Here is an 18,072-nt window from a genome sequence, read left to right on the forward strand (position 1 = left end):
TGCTCCCATTTGCAAGGAAGGAGTTCCGTTCCTGGGAGCTGGATCTTCCCCTCTGCCTGGGCTCTCTATTCATGTTTGCAGTAATTAGACACCAGGTTGATTGACCATGAAAGATAAGTTCTCAATCACTCCTGAACACATAAACATACCATGAGTACATGAAATAAAAATGTTACGTGCTGGGAACATCAATCAGAAGGGTAATGTTTATGTAGCATTGTTAATTGGATTTCTACAATGGGATATTCGGTGGGTTGGGGTTTATCTGATAACACCGTAGTCTGTGACAGCAACTTCTGTGACTCAGTGTGGCTTCAAGGTCAAGGAACTGAGCGTCCTCCTGACCAACAGGCTGAGGAGATTGTTGGGAGTTCTTGTGGGCCAGGCTCTTATCGGTGAGCTGTATGGAGAACACCATCTCTCAGATTTATCCATAATTTTAATGAATGCTCTGTTTGAGATAATGACCCATATCTTGACTTGCACAAAGCCCTGAAAATACTTCTACGAATTGTGTTTTATCTGAAGTACTGCAGCATGCAGCATCCAACATTACCATTGATATCATCTATTGAGAACTCTTTCCCAGGTTCTTTATTAAGGTTTAATTAAATTTTATGTCTTATCAATTAGGATTAATCTATATTTAGTCTGAATTAGAGGGAGCCAATTATAAATAACACCACTTCTCATTTATTCCTGAATACAAAATGAAGGTTTTTAAACTTTCTTTGGAGGAAAAAATAAAAAACCTCACAACCCCCCTGACTCAAATGTGTCCCTTTAAAGAGTTTTATGCCCAGGAGACCACAAATTCTATTATAATAAAGTGAAAAGATGATAATTCCTATAGGAAGGTGTTACAGACAGAAATGGGGGTCCGGAGGGAAAAGAGAGAGAATTTCTGTTATGATGTGGGCAATTGAAACAAAGAGATTTTCAACTTTAAAGTTTTCACTTGGAGCAATGGCACAAAGATAAACTGAATTTTCCAAGGTTATTGTGACATCTCTGTTTCTAGAAGAGGACAGACCAGCTTGTGCCCTGCGGTTGTGTTCAATGCTGTTAATTAAATATTTCCAATTCTGTTACTTCTGGGCACGAATTGGATCATACTCCTCCCCTCTCTTCACCTTGAAGTCAAATGTGGGCATGGGACTCGTTTGGTCAATGAAATGCAAGAAGAAGCAATATCTGTCAGTTCCATTTGGAAGCGCCCATATGGACTAGAGTGCAATTTCTCATGTTTTCTTCCTCCTGCTGCAGTGGTCATGGAAACACAATTCAGACAAAAGCCCCATTAGCCCAAGATGGGTGGCGTCTTCTCTGCCAGCCTGCATTGTTTGTGCAACATGAGCAAGAAGTAAACTTTTGTTGTGTTAAGCCATTGAGATGTTGAGGTTTTTGTTACTTCAGCGTCATGTAGCTTATCCTGCCTTATAGAAGCTCTATAAGCTTTAGTTTCTTCTAAGCTTTGGTACTGACTTCATTGGGTTGTTATATGAGGAAGAATAATGAAGTAATTAACAAAAAGTGTTTCATTTAGTGCTGGCACACAAGTACTCGGTAAATATTAGTGCTTCCTATTATTGTTGTTGTAGTTGGGGATGTCTATGTATTATGGCTAAATGATCCTATTTGGAATATTCTGATGGTATGTTCAAAGTTTATTTAAACTCTTAGTATTTCAATGTCTTGCCTTTCCACCTGATCAGAACAGAAGCTTCACATCGAGCACTTCTATTACCCCCTGCTAAAGAGTTTACAAAGCCTTCTAATGCACAGTTCTATTTACTTTCTTCTTTCCCTTACAACGCTATTGAATAGTCCTGTGGTATATAGTTTAAGAAAAGGCAAAAAGCCTTATGATAAAAGTCTGTTTAGGAAGGTACTGTGTTTTCAAATGAGCCTTTGGAGATCCGGCCTGCATAGGCTTTCTGGCAGACCTGTGAATTCAAGGACCCCCTTTCCAAAATTATCCAGAGTAACTTGTAATTTATAACTTGGGTTTCTGTACATGTTCCGGCCTGGACCTCATTTAAGTGCGTCCAGCCAATATACAGTGGTGTAAGCCATGAGGTTTGTAGAGACTCAAATTCTTGTTGTGACCAATATAACAGGTACACACTGTGAACTCGTCCCATGAGCTTGGTGCATTATTGAGCCAAGAATCCTCTAGAGGTTGCCTCATAGTAGGAAATCAGAGAGCTATCCAGGAACAATGGTGAGACCAGTTCAAATATTACCTGGACCCAGCATTTAGAAAGTCCAGTTCTTATGGATGCAAAGGTCTTGTTCTAGAATCAGGGTGTGGTCCCAATATACGCAAACTCACCACAGTTGGGAGGATTTTGGTTGCAAGTGACAGAAACCCAGCACAAACCCCAAAGGAAAATCATTGGCTCTTGTAACCCAGAAATTTAATGGATAAACCCTTCCAGCTTCAAGTATGGCTGTATGTAGGTGTCCAAATGATGTCATTAGCTCTTTCTCTTCCCCCACTCTAACTCGTTTTCTCTGTATCTACTTTCTTTTTTATCAAACTCTATCTACATGGCAGCAAATATGGCATTGGCACCTGTAGGTTCCCATTGCTTTTATTGCAGTGATCCCAGAAACAAGACTGCCTCTTTTTTTTTTTTTTTTTTTTTTTTTGATAGTTTCAGGAAAAATAGTTGGGAGGGTGCCAGGGCTAGTTTTTCTGTTTCTTTTCTTTTTTAAACTTTTATTTTAAGTTCAGGGGTACAAGTGCAGGTTTGCTACATAGGTAAACTTGTGTCATGGGGGTTTGCTGTAGGTTATTTAATCATCCAGGAATTAAGCCTAGTACCTATTAGTTATGTTTCTGGATCCTCTCCTGCTCCCACCCTCCACTCTCTGAAAGGCCCCAGTGTGTGTTTTTCCCCTCTATGTGTCCATGTGTTCTTATCATTTAGCTCCCACTTATGAGAACGTGTGGTATTTAGTTTTCTGTTCATGTGTTAGTTTGCTAAGGATAATGGCCCCCAGCTCCATCTGTGTGCCTGCAAGGGACATAATCTTGTTTTTTATGGCTGCAGAGTATTCCAGGGTGTATATGTACCACATTTTCTTTATCCATCTCTCATTGAAGGGTATTTAGGTTGATCTAACCAGTGCTAATTTTTCTAATCCACAAATAACTTCTGCAAATTGAAAAAGACTTAAAAATCCAGTACAGAAATAGGTAAAGAATAGAAGTAGGCAATCTTTAGAAGTGGAAATGCAAATAGCCAATAAACAAATGAAATTATGCTCATTCTTTTCGGGGAAGGGGAAATGTAAATAAAAATGACAATAGATTACTTTAGAAATTAATCAATTTGACCCAAACAGAAATGATTTATTACCATCACTTATGATTGTATGGAGGAAGAAAGGACTCTCATACTTTGCTGTTATGAGTAAGAATTGCTTTAACCATTCAAGAAAAATCTGAAAGTAGCTACTGGAATTCAAAATATACTTATGCTCAGAAATTTCACTTTTGGCATGCAGAAATGGAAGTACCAATTCCACAGAAAAATGTTTATTACTTTAAGTACCTGATTCTTGCAAAAATCTGGAAACAAAATTAATATCCAAAAGCAGGGATTTATTGAATAAATTATAATGTTTTATGTTTCAGAATTTTATGCAACTGTTGAAAAAAGCCAGGTATATGGAGAGATGCCTATACTTTCTTGTTAAGTAAAGAAGCACATTTGTGTAATATCATCCTATTTCTGAAAAAAAAAAAAAGAAAGAAAGAAAACCTTTCATCTGGTTTTCATGTATGATGCTTGCATGAACTCAGGAAAAACATGGAAAAAATACATAGTAAATTGTTGACATTAGTTACTTTGAAGGGAAGGCGGCATGTGACATATACTGCAACTTGAATTTGAAGTGAAAATTCATTAAAGTGCATATAAAACAGGATAACTTGTACCTGTGTCCTTAAGACAAATTACCGCAAAGGACAGGTACAGTGTGACATCCTAAATCTTGGGGTAGGCATAAGGGGATATGCATGTCTTGTCAAGGTCTGTTTCATGGTGTTTAAAGAACTTTATTTTATTTTATTTTATTTTTATTTTTTTCTTTGCCTTCTTTTTTTTTCTTTTTTTTCCTATTTATTTATTTATTTTACTTTAAGTTCTAGGGTACATGTGCACAATGTGCAGGTTTGTTACATATGTATACATGTGCCATGTTGGTGTGCTGTACCCGTTAACTCGTCATTTACATTAGGTATATCTCCTAATGCTATCACTCCCCGCTCCCCCCACCCCCTGGCAGGCCCCAATGTGTGATGTTCCCCACCCTGTGTCCATGTGTTCTTATTGTTCAATTCCCACCTATGAGTGAGAACATGTGGTGTTTGGTTTTCTGTCCTTGCGATAGTTTGCTCAGAATGATGGTTTCCAGCTTCATCCATGTCCCTATAAAGGACATGAACTCATTCTTTTTTATGGCTGCATAGTATTCCATGGTGTATATTTTTTTGAGACAGGGTATCATTCTGTCGCCCAGGCTGGAGTGCAGTGGCACAATCACAGCTCATTGCAGCCTCAATCTCCCTGGGCTCAGGTGATCCTCCCACCTCATCCTCCCAAGTAGCTAGGACTACAGGTGCTCACCACCGCACCCCAGCTGACTTAAAAATATTTTTTAGTGATGGGGTCTCATTATGTTGCCCAGGCTGGTCTTGAACTCCTGGTCTCAAGCAATCCTCCTGCCTCAGCCTCTCAAAGTGCTGGGATTACAGGTGTGAAACACCATGCTTGGCCCAGAAGAAGTTTAGACAAATGAAATTTAACAGAGTTTAACTGAGCAAAGAACAATTTGAGAATAGGGCAGTCCTCCTTTTCAGAGAGACTCCTGCACTGCCGTGTGGTTGGAGAGGATTTATGGACAGAAAAGGGAGGTGAGGTGCAGAAACAGCTGGCTTGGTCACAGCTTGGCATTTGCCATATTTGAACACAGTTTGAACAGTTGGTTGCCTGTGATTGGCCGAAACTTGGTGATTGGCACAAGAGTAGATTACAGACTATTGACACATCCAGTTAGGTTACAGTTCACTAAGTGCGGAGAAACCTTAGGCCCAACTTAGAATATGTCAGGAGGGGCTGGGTGCAGTGGCTCACGCCTGTAATCTCAGCACTTTGGGAGGCCGAGGCAGGTGGATCACCTGAGGTCAGGAGTTCGAGACCAGCCTGGCCAACACGGTGAAACCCCATCTCTACTAAAAATACAAAAATTAGCCGGGTGTGGTGGCATATGCTTGTAATCCCAGCTACTCCAGAGGCTGAGACAAGAGAATCGCTTGAACCCGGGAGGCGGAGTTGCAGCGAGCCGAGATTGTGTCATTGCACTCCAGCCTGGGTAACAGAGAGAGGCTCTGCCTCAAAAAAAAAAAAAAAAAAAAAAATCACCAAGATGTTACAGTGTGACTCTATGTAAGGAAATACAAATGATTCAATGATGCAGATATTTTTAATAAAATATGAATTACAAAAATTGAATTATGAAAAAGTAATGTCTGGAATAAAAAAAATATACAAAAATAAAAAGTGCTTGGGCATGCTGGCTCACACCTGTAATCCCAGCAACTTTTTGGGAGGCCGAGGTGGGAGGATTGCTTGAGGCCAGGAGTCTGAGACCATCCTGGGCAATATTGTGAGATCCTGATCTTTACAAAAAATAAAAAACTATCTGGGCTTGGAGGTGTGCACCTGTATTTCCAGCTACTTCGGAGGCTGAGGTGGTAGGATCCCTTGAGACCAGGAGTTTGAAGATGCAGTGAGCTATGATCACACCACTGCACTCCAGCCTGGGTGACAGAATAAGACCCCATCTCTTTAAAAAATAAAATAAATAAAAATAGAAAAGTTAAAGTATTATCAAATGGTCATTTTAAAATAGCCTCCTTAAACAGATTTTTCTAATGTATTTGTTCTCTTCAAATTTTCTGGTGACAAATTTATTCCTATACTCAATGAATGGTTCCAGATTATAGAAAACCATGGAAAACTTTCTAATTCATTTTACGAGAACGATACAACCCTGAAATTCAATCTTGAAGAGTATAGTGGAAAAAAAATAGAACAGAAGACCAAGGCACTAGATGAAAAACTATAAATAAAATAATAGCAAACAGAATTCAATAATACATTAATAGAGTCACTAACCATGACCAAGGAGGATTTAGCCTAGGAATGCAAAGACGTTTGTTTTTCAAATCATTTTATTAAAAAAAAAATAATAAAATCTTATAGGTTACAGTGACACTTTTTGTACCCCTCCTGGGTTTTCTTCTCTTCCTTTTTCCATCCCCTATAAATTGCAAAAACCAGAGATAAGGACTATTTTGAAGTTGGTATTTATCTTTCCAATATATGTTTCATATCCCTACCACTTTTATAAGTATCCATCAATATTTAGCTACATATTATCTTGTATGTTCTTTAAAATTCCATAACTGGTTTTATTCTAGGTGTGTTCCTGTGGAACTGGCTTTTGTTCATTTAGCCTTCTGTTTTTGAGATTATCCATGTTGATACAAGTAGATCTAGCTCATTCATTGTATAAATGTACTGGTGGGGCATGGTGGCTCATGCCTGTAATCCCAGCACTTTGGGAGGCGGAGGTGGGTGGATCACATGAGGTCAGGAGTTCGAGACCAGCCTGACCAACATGGTGAAGCCCTGACTCTACTAAAAATACAAAATTTAGCCGGGAGTGATGGTGCGTGCCTTAGTCCCAGCTACTCGGGAGGCTGAGACAGGAGAATCGCTTGAACCCGGGAGGCAGAGGTTGCAGTGAGCCAAGATCATGCCTTTGCACTCCAGCCTGGGCAACAGAGCAAGATTCCATCTCAAAAAAAAAAAAGTGCCATTATTTATAATTTTTTACATGTAGACTGAATGTTTGTGTCCCTTGTCCCCCAAATTGAAATGTTGAAATCCTAACTCCCGATTTGATAGTATTAGAAGGTAGATCCTTTGGGAAGTGATTAGGTCACGAGGGTGAAGCCTCATGAATGGAGTTAGTGCCATTACACAAACAGCCCCTGGGAGCTTTCTTTCCCTCATTCCCCCATGTAAGGATACAGCAAGAAGGTAGCCACCCGCAATCCGGAAGAGAGCCCTTACCAGAACCCGACCATGCTGGCACCCTGATCTCAGACTTCCAGCCCCCAGAACCGTGAGCAATACATTTCTGTTGTTTATAAGCTACCCAGTTTATGATATTTTGTTATAGCAGCCTGAACTAAGACAAATTTGGGTTGTTTTATTTTTTTCGGTAGCTATTATAAACAATGCTATAACAAACACGGTGCACATTTTTTACACTGCCATGTGTGAATAAGGTTGTGGCAGTTTACTGTCCTATCAACAGAGTGTGAGAGTTCTGTATTCCACATTCTTGCTAACTCTTGTGTGGGATGCGATTTTATTCCCATTTTTATTTGCATTTCCCTGATTACTAGTGAGGTGGAAATTTTTCCAGTGTTTACTGATCTGGAGTACTTCCCATATTCAGAATTGTCTGTCTGTATCCATTGTCTAATTTATACTAGATTTTAAAAAAATCCCTTTCCTATTGATTTGTAGGATTTCTTTTTATATTCTCAATGCCGACCCAGGACTGTTTAATAACAGGAAATCTATTAATGTATTCTATCAAAAGAAGAGATAAAAATTCTGTATGATTTAGTCAATAAGTACCAAAAGGCATTCAATAGGCCTGATATCCATTCCTGATAAAAAAGCTCTTTGAAAATTTGAGATAGAAATGTGATAAAAATATCTCTTTTAAATCAAAGTACACATCAGGCTTGAAGAAACATCAGATATCTTCCTATTAGAGACAAGAAATGTTCACTGTTATGGATTGAATTGCATTTCCACAAAATTCCTTTTTTTTTTTTTTTTTTTTGAGACAGAGTCTCACTCTGTCACCTTAGCTGGAGTGCAGTGGTGCGATCTAGGGTCACTGCAACTTTCGCCTCCTGGGTTCAGGTGATTCTCCTGCCTCAGCCTCCCGAGTAGCTGGGATTACAGGTGCTTGCCATCACGCCCAGCTAATTTTTGTATTTTTAGTAGAGACGGGGTTTAGCCATGTTGGCCAGGGTGGTCTTGAACTCCTGACCTCAGGTGATCTACCCGCCTCGGCCTCCCGAAGGGCTGGGATTACAGGTGTGAGCCACGACACCCGACCCATTTCTCCAAAATTCTTATGTTGAAGTCCTAACCCCAAATGCCTCTGAATATGTCTAGAGACATTACCTTTAAGGAGGTAAATATGTTGAAGTGAGGTCGTTATGGTGGGTACTAATCCTATATAACTGATGTCCTTATAAAAAGAGAAAATAAGAACACTGACATGTACAGAGGCAAGACCATGTGAAGACACAGGGAGAAGATGGCCATCTGTAAGCCAAGGAGAGAGGCCTCAGAAGAAACAGACCCTGCTGACACCTTGATGTTAAGCTTCTAGCTTCTAGAACCAGGAGAAAATAAATTTCTGTTGTGTAAGCCACCTGGTTGTGGTACTTCATTAGGAAGCCCTAGTCAACTAATATCCTTTCATTTACTGATCTAAGTGTGCTGTGATTTTTTTTTTCTTTTGACACAGGGTCTTGCTCTGTCACCCAGGCTGGAGTGCAGTGGCATGATCTCCACTCACCGCAGCCTCAGCTTCCCAGGTTCAAGTGATCCTCCCACCTCAGCCTCCTGAGTAGCTGAGATTACAGGTGCACACCACTATACCCAGCTATTTTTTATTTTTTAAGAGATGAGGCCTCACTATATTGCTCAGGCTGGTCTTGAATTCCTGGGCTCAAGTGATCCTCCCGCCTCAGTCTCCCAAAGTGCCAGGATTACAGGCCTGAGCCCCCATTCCTGGCCTGCTGTGAAGTTTTTGACCAATGGTGTAAGTGAGAAATAAGAGACAGAACTATGAGAATGAAAGAAACCAATTTATCATTTATAAGTGACATGATTATATGATAAGAATTATAACAATCTCAATAAGACAGTTCAGGAAAGTGGTCAGATGTGAGATAAACCTCTGAAAATCAGTAACAAATAAGGAAACGATTATTAAAAGTATTTTGTGCAATAGCAATGAAAAAATAAAATAACCAGTCTGTATGTAACATAAGATGTACATGAGGAAAAACTATAAAAATTTACAGAGCAATACAGATGGTTTAAATAAATAAAGAGAGGTTTCAGTTGCTTGCATTGGAACCTAAAGAGTTTAGAGATTTAAATTCTTCCAAAATTAGCTGACAGACTCAACATATGGAATTTACAGTTTTTAGTAGCTTAATAAAATAATCCTGTGGTTCAATTAGAACAATTTGAGAAAGGTGGGAACATGAGATATAATGACTTATTTCAAAGCTCTAACAATTAAAACAAGGTGGGATGGCTAAAAATTCAAAGCCAGGGAAATGGAACAGATACCTAACCACGTGTTACTTTATTATTATTGTTATTATTATTATTATTTTGAGACAGAGTCTCACTCTGTCGCCCAGACTGGAGTGCAGTGGTATGATCTCGGCTCACTGCAACCTCCACCTCCTGGGTTCAAGCGATTCTCCTGCCTCAGCTTCCCGCGTAGCTGGGACTACAGGCATGCACCATCACACCCGGCTACTTTTTGTATTTTTGATAGAGACGGGGTTTAACCATGTTGGCCAGTGTGGTCTTGAACTCCTGACCTCAAGTAATCTGCCCACCTCAGCCTCCCAAAATGCTGGGATTACAGGCATGAGCCACCGTGCCTCACCACGATGTTACTTTACCTATTAGCAAAAGTAGTAAATAAGGAATAAATAACGCAAAGATAATGTTTTATTATTATTATTATTATTGAGACAGGATCTCACTCTGTCACCCAGACTGGAGTGCAGTGCAGATCATGGTTCAACGCAGCCTCAATTTCCTTGTGTTCAGCCTCCCAAGTAGCTGGGACTTCTAGTTCTAGATCCCTGAGGAATCGCCACACTGACTTCCACAATGGTTGAACTAGTTTACAGTCCCACCAACAGTGTAAAAGTGTTCCTATTTCTCCACATCCTCTCCAGCACCTGTTGTTTCCTGACTTTTTAATGATTGCCATTCTAACTGGTGTGAGATGATATCTCATAGTGGTTTTGATTTGCATTTCTCTGATGGCCAGTGATGATGAGCATTTTTTCATGTGTTTTTTGGCTGCATAAATGTCTTCTTTTGAGAAGTGTCTGTTCATGTCCTTCGCCCACTTTTTGATGGGGTTGTTTGTTTTTTTCTTGTAAATTTGTTTGAGTTCATTGTAGATTCTGGATATTAGCCCTTTGTCAGATGAGTAGGTTGCAAAAATTTTCTCCCATGTTGTAGGTTGCCTGTTCACTCTGATGGTAGACCCAGACATCCCATTACTGGGTATATACCCAAATGACTATAAATCATGCTGCTATAAAGACACATGCACACGTATGTTTATTGAGGCATTATTCACAATAGCAAAGACTTGGAACCAACCCAAATGTCCAACAATGATAGACTGGATTAAGAAAATGTGGCACATATACACCATGGAATACTATGCAGCCATAAAAAATGATGAGTTCATGTCCTTTGTAGGGACATGGATGAAATTGGAAACCATCATTCTCAGTAAACTATCGCAAGAACAAAAAACCAAACACCGCATATTCTCACTCATAGGTGGGAATTGAACAATGAGATCACATGGACACAGGAAGGGGAATATCACACTCTGGGGACTGTGGTGGGGTGGGGGGAGGGGGGAGGGATAGCATTGGGAGATATACCTAATGCTAGATGACGAGTTAGTGGGTGCAGCGCACCAGCATGGCACATGTATACATATGTAACTAACCTGCACAATGTGCACATGTACCCTAAAACTTAAAGTATAATAAAAAAAAATAATAAAAAAAATAGGGTTTGTAATGTAAGTTTGATATGGTTTGGCTCTGTGTCCCCACCTAAATCTCACCTTGAATTGTAATTTCCATAATCCCCACGTGTCAAGGGCAGGACCAGGTGGAAGGAATTGAATCATGGGGGCAGTTTCCCCCATGCTGTTCTTGTCATAATGAGTGAGTCTCACTAGATCTGATGGTTTTATAAGCATCTGGCATTTCCGCTGCTTGCATTCATTCTCTCTCCCACTGCCCTGTGAAGAGGTGTCTTCCACCATGATTGTAAGTTTCCTAAGGCATCCTCAGCCATGTGGAACTGTGAGTCAATTATACCTCTTTTCTTTATAAATTACCCAGTCTCAGGTATTTCTTCATAGCAGCGTGAGAATGGACTAATATGAAGTTTTAATTTAGATAAGTCCATCTTCAAATAATACTATACTCCTTCATGTTTTTTGCTAGAACCTCATGCCAGTGTTTTCCCAATTCCTCCTTCCCACCCCTTGTGCCATTGTTGTTATACACTTTACTCTTACATATGATACAAATACATAAACATTGTCACTATTAGTTATTTAACTTTTATAGCAACTAGAAGAAATTTTAAAAACTATTTTATTACTGATGTTTTAAAAATTTATTTATGGCCAAGAGCGGTGGCTCACGCCTGTAATCCCAGCAACTTTGGGAGGCCGAGGCGGGCAGATCACAAGGTCAGGAGATCAAGACCATCCTGGCTAACACGGTGAAACCCCGTCTCTACTAAAAATACAAAAAATTAGCCAGGCGAGGTGGCGGGTGCCTGTAGTCCCAGCTACGCAGGAGGCTGAGGCAGGAGAAGGCGTGAACACCGGGGGGCGGAGCCTGCAGTGAGCCGAGATCGCGCCACTGCACTACAGCCTGGGTGAAAGAACGAGACTCCGTCTCAAAAAAAAAAAAATAAAATAAAATAAAAAAATAAAAATTAAAAAAAAAAAAAAAAAGTAGCTGGGACTACAGTCTTGTGCAGCTATGCCTGCCTAATTCTTGTTTTTTGTTTTTCTGTAGAGACGAGGTCTTGTTATGTTGCCCAGGTTGGTCTCCAACTCCTGGCCTTAAGTGATCCTCCTGCCTTAGCCTCCTCAAGTGCTGGGGTTACAGGCATGAGCCACCATGCCCCACCCAAAGAAAATATTTAAAAAATCAAAGAGCAAGTGGAACTTGGAGCAAAGGAGCAACATAGATCTAGTAAGGCCAGAATAGGCTGTGAATACAGTTGCTGGAAAGTTAGAGGAATCTACAGTGTCTGCCTCTGACCCTCATCTTCCCTTTGCATCTATTCCTGCTGGCTTTGGGACAGGGCTGTGGGATGGTCACCCTAGGCATTCCATCCTTATTTCTCCTCCAGCTGGCTGCATAGAGTTTCTATAAGGGCCCCTCATGGAAAGACTTCGTGCGATAAAAGTCAGACTTGAGATGAGTGTTTCCTAGAACTCATGCAGCTCAGGGCCCTATGGTTGCCTGTACATAGCACGAGTACTTCTTAAGAAATCACTTGTGGGATGTGTGCTCCCCAGGTGAGTGCTCCACAGGTAAGTCCACTGGCTCATTCCCTGAGGTAGCAGAACTGGTGTAGGAGGCACAAGTTTTCCAGGAGTCCTGCTTGTGATGGCCTAGGCTTCACCCTACCCCTCCTCTCAACAACAGAGCAGGACAAGGAGGAAGGAAGCCAGCTGGGGCCAGGCGCAGTGGCTCACACCTGTAATCCCAGCATTTTGGGAGGCCAAGGTAGGGGAATCACTTGAGGTCAGGAGTTAGAGACCAGCATGGCCAACATGGTGAAACCCTGTCTCTACTAAAAATACAAAAATTAGCCAGGCGTGGTGGCGTGCACCTGTAGTCCCAGCTACTCAGGTGGCTGAGGCAGGAGAATTGGTTCAACCCAGGAGGCAGAGGTTGCAGTGAGTTTGCAGTGAGACTCTGTCTCAAAAAAAAAAAAAAAAAAAAAAAAAAGACGGAAGGATGCCAGGGGTCTTTGCAAGCTGGCTGTGGGAGTGGGAGGATCCCGGGAGTCCCACTCAACCATCTGGAATAGGTCTCCAACTTGTGAGTGGGGTGGATGGTATAGAAATGTCCTGAAGGAGTAGGAGGAGGAGTTATGAGGAAACGCTCGCTGTGCAATGTATGTTCTAGAACAGGAATTGGCAAACTTCTTCTGTAAAGGGACAGACAGTAAATATTTTAGGCTCTGTGGACCATCTGGTCTCTTTTGGCAAGGACTCAGCCCTGCCCTTGGAGTGGGAAAACAGCCATAGGCAGTAGGTAAACAAATGGTCATGTTTTATGTTCCAATAAAACTTTATTTACAAAAACAAGGGCAGGTGGGATTTTGCCCACAGGCCATCGTTTGCAGATCTCTGGTTTTAGAACTTGTTTTCATAGTTAGACCCATCTCCACTGCTTCCTTGTAAGTCATTGGCAAATATTTCTGAGATTCTGTTTCCTCAAGTCTAAAGTGGGGGTGATAATAGGTCTGTCTCCTAATGTTGTACATAGTAAGTGCTCCAGAAATGGTATCTGTTGTTGCTTGGTTGTTAACTTCTTCATTATGATTATTATTTCTTGTGAGGAACAGAAGGTACTCAGGAAAGTCACCCTAGGACAAACACGATCTCCCCTCCTGGCTTAAAAATAAAATGGGAACACTGATTCTACTTAACACTTCTGTCAGTAGGCATGAGTCTCTAACATTTCCAAAACCCTCTAACATCTGTTGGCAGGTCTTTGGATAGACTTAACAGTAAATCTGAATTCCTGAAGGATCCAAACTCATTTTTGTAACTTCAAATTGGAGACTGAACTAGAGATTTTTATGGAACTGAGACAGGTCAGGACTTGATGGTGGTTTAGGAGATTAAGTCATTGTCCCCGTAAATCATATCTGACTTCTAGTTTCACAGTGTGGCAAGACCATCCTTCTGCACTCTAAATTTCTTTCTTGCCGGGCAGTCATTTGTTGCTGGACACTTAGGAAGGAACATACATTTTCCTTTTACCTCTCTGTGTGCTGCCCGAACATCCCCAAGTCCCTGCGCTGGGGACTGCCTGTGTGGTGGCTCTGTTTGTCACTGTGAGGACCCAACATGTGGTCTCTGAAAAGCTGGCTTTTATTTAATCAAAGGGCCTCTGGCACTAAGATGTCCAAATTATTTTATTTGATTTTTTCAGAGCCAATAAATCAGAGTCTGAGATATATCTTGCAGCCATCTCCTTACCTGTATCCCTACCGCCTTGATAGAGGCCATTGTGTTGCCTTCCTGGATTATTTTCACAGCCTCCAGACTGAACTCTACGCTTCTGCTCTTACGGGTCCTCACCACAGCCTCCCCACCGCCCCCATCATCACACAGCAGCCAAAGTGGTCTTGGAAACATGAAGATCAGATTACATTAAAACTTTTTAATGGGGATGGGCATGGTGGCTCACGCCTGTAATCCCAGCACTTTGGGGAGCCAAGGAAGGAGGATCGCTTGAGGCCAGAAGTTTGAAACAAGCCTGGGCAACATAGTGAGACCCCGTCTTTCAAAAAAAAATTTTTTTAAGTTGAAAGATTAGCTGGGCATGGTGGTGCTTGCCTGTAGTCCTAGCTACTTGGGAGGCTGAGGCAAGAGTCTGCAGTGAACTATGATTGTTCCACTGCACTACAGCCTAGACAACAGAGCTAGATCCCATCTACAAAAACAAAAACAAACAAAAACCAAAAACACTTTCTTTTTTCTTTTTTTGAGTTGGAGTCTCGCTCTGTCGCCCAGGCTGGAGTGCAGTGGCACGATCTCAGCTCACTGCAACCTCCACCTCCTGGGTTCAGGTGATTCTCCTGTCTCAGCCTCCCGAGTAGCTGGGATTACAGGCATGTGCCACCACACCCAGCTAATTTTTGTATTTTTAATAGAGATGAGATTTCACCATGTTGGCCAGGCTGGTCTCGAACTCCTGACTTCAACTGATCCACCCATCTTGGCCTCCCAAAGTGCTGTGATTACAGGTGTGAGCCACCACACCCTGCCCCACAAACACTTTTTAATGGCTTCCCGTCAATCTTAGAATAAAATCCCAACTTCCTGTGGAGGGTGGTACATGAGGGCCTGCATCATCTTGTCCACTTCTACCTCCTGGCCCACTGGGTACCAGCCACATGGATCTGTTTCACATTTCTCAAATAAAAGCCCTCCTGCCTCAGGACTGTGTACATGCTGATCCCTCTGAGGTGACACTTGTGTTAATTTCCTCTTTGTGCTGTGACTTCATGACCACGGACTTAGTGGCTTAAAACAACACACATTTCTTATCTTCCAGTTCTGTAGGTCAGAAGTCCAAGATGGATCTCCCTGGGCTAAAATCAAGGGGCATTCTTTCTGGAGGCTCTCAGGATAATCTGTTTCCTTGCCTTTTCCAGAGGTACAGGCAGCCTGCATGCCTTGGCTCATGGCTACATCACTCTGACCTCTGCCTCCATCATCACGTCTCCTTCTCTGACCACCCCCCTGTCTCCCTCCTTCCCTTATTAAGGACCCTTGTGATTACAGTGGAACAACCTAAATCATCCAGGATGATCACCCACCTCATGATTCTTAGTTTAATCACATCCAGAAAGTCTTTACTGCCATGTGAGGTTACATGTTCACAGGTTCTGGTGATCGGGACGTGAACATCTCTAGGGGCCACTGTGCTCTTGTGAAACAGCTGATCCCTCTCCATCTTCTGGTCTTGATTTAAATGCACCTTCCTTAGAGAGGCTTTTGCCAACACCATCTGCATTGACTTCTGATTTTCTCTTCCACAACACCCTGTTATTTTGCTTTATAGCAATTCCTTCAATAAACATGTCTCTATTATGTAAGCCTTTTTAAAATTAGGTAGTCTGTGTCCTAAAGCTGAAGACATCCTTGCTACAAAAACCTTAACAGCCTGCACCTCAGCCCCCTAAGATCCTCTAGTCAGAGGAACCTCCTTCTCTCCACCCAAAAGCTTGGTTCTGCCCTGCCCTGGTCGCACATAACATCTTTTCTTCTTCTTCTTCCTCTTCTTCTTCTTCTTCTTCCTCTTCTTCTTCTTCTTCTTCTTCTTCTTCTTCTTCTTCTTCTTCTTCTTCTTCCTCTTCCTCCTCTTCCTCCTCTTCCTCCTCTTCCTCCTCTTCCTCTTCTTCCTCTTCTTCTTCCTCTTCTTCTTCCTCTTCTTCTTCTTCTTCTTCTTCTTTTTTTTTTGACAGGGTCTTACTGTGTTACCCATGCTGGAGTGCAGTGGCACAATCATGGCTCACTGCAGCCTCCACCTCCCAGGTTCTAGCAATCCTCCTACTTCAGCCTCCCAAGTAGCTGGGACAACAGGTGTGCATCACCATGCCCAGATAATTTTTTATTTTTTGTAGAGATGGGATCTCACTGTGTTGCCCAAGCTGGTCTCGAGCTTCTGGGCTCTAGCTATTCACCTACCTTGAGAAGGAGCAGGAGCATCTTAAAGATGATCTTGGCTTACCCCCAAGTCAGTCTTGCTGCTGAGCTCCAATGTCCAGTTTGGTTGGGATCTCAGTGGCACAGACTTCTCATGCTGTCTCAGTGGGGCACTGGGCTAGTCGGGGAGAAGGTTCAAGACTAGAGGGGCTTAGCTTGTTGACATGAATATGCCCTGCCAGTTACAGTGTTACTAGCAGGACTTTATCCTTGTCTGAATCAGCAAATGGCCTGTCTGGTTAGAGTGCTTGCATGCTCTAAAATGTATGATCTTAATCACAGCTCAGTGAGAATATTTGCAGGCAGAAGACTCTCTGTTTTAGGTTGGGCTCCCTGGAAGCAGACGCTGAGACGAGGATTTGTGTAAAAGTGATTTATTATGAGGGGTTCTCAGAAACACTAGTAGGGGAGTGGGAAAATAGAATGGAGAAGAGAAGAAGCCAAGAAGGGTGTTGGATCAAGCAAGGTCCTACAGGAGGACTGCTGTGGCTCAGTCCCCAGGACAGCTCCAGGGAGAGTTCAGGCTGCTCCTTGCAGTTTTCCGATCAAGACAAGAGAGCTGGCGTGATGTTTCAGAGACAGGGGCTTGCTCTGTCACCAAGGTTGGACTGCAATGGTGCGATCATAGGTCACTGCAGCCTCAAACTCCTGAGCTCAAGCAATTCTCTTGCCTCAGCCTCCCAAATAGCTGGGACTATAGGCACTCACCACCATGTCCGGCTATTTTTAATTTTTTTTTTTTGTAGAGATAGGGTCTTGCTGTGTTGCCCAGGCTGGATTTGAACTCCTGGCCTCAAGTGATCCTCCTGCCTTGGCCTCCCAAAGTGTTGAGATTACAGGCATGAGCCATTCCACCCGGCCAGCTGGCATGCTTCTAAGCCTGCCTTCACCACTAATTGGTTAAGGGCTGGCCTCCAAGGGGAGTGCAAATTCCCAGGCACTCCAGTCTCAGCACACACAGGCAAAGTGAGAGCAGCCCTCTGCCAACATGCAGGTGCTGGCTAAGAGAAAGCACACAAGGAGCTGTGTGCAGAGCGTGGTCTGAGTGCGTGTGGGCAGAGGCCCCAAGAGCCCTGCTATGTGCTCTTATTCCAAGTGGATCCATTAGTTTGTTCTGCACACATTCATCCATCTTCAACTCTGTGCCAGGCTCTGGGCATGCAGGCGACAAAGACACAGCCCTAACCCTCATGAAATTTTTACAGCCAAGTAGGGGAGACAGACATTAAGTTTTAAAAATCCTCCCAAAATGAGGAACTGTGATTGTGAGTAGCGCTGTGGATGAGAAGAACACCTGGGAGGAGACCTCGTCTAGCAGGTGGGCGGGGATGAAGCTTCTCCAAACAAGTGACGCTGAGCCAAGAGCTGAAGGATGAGTAAGAGTGAACCAGGCATAAAAGGGAAGAAGGAGCATTACAAGCCTGGGGTGCATGTGCAAGGGTCCTGGGGCAGGAATCCACAGGAGCAAGTGAAAGGCTGGTGTGACTGGGGTCCGAAGACCCAGGGGAGAGCAGTAAGTGATGAGCCTGTGGGTTGCTGAGGAGTGATTATTCCCCACTTACCACCTGGTTCCTTTTCGAGCCTGTTCAATGTCGTTCAGACCCAGATGTGTGAGCCATTCTCTGGTACGTTCCCTGG

General features: G+C 42.5%; 1 annotated feature.

The window, feature by feature from the left end:
- Positions 17,694 to 17,853: an enhancer, noted in NCBI's record as "active region_10574". NCBI's record gives its function as "activates an Ori minimal core promoter by ATAC-STARR-seq in GM12878 lymphoblastoid cells {active_cell/tissue: GM12878}" and the evidence as "EXISTENCE:reporter gene assay evidence [ECO:0000049][PMID:35858748]".

Source organism: Homo sapiens, chromosome 16 (genome assembly GCF_000001405.40).
Source record: "Homo sapiens chromosome 16, GRCh38.p14 Primary Assembly".
Lineage (NCBI taxonomy): Eukaryota > Metazoa > Chordata > Mammalia > Primates > Hominidae > Homo > Homo sapiens.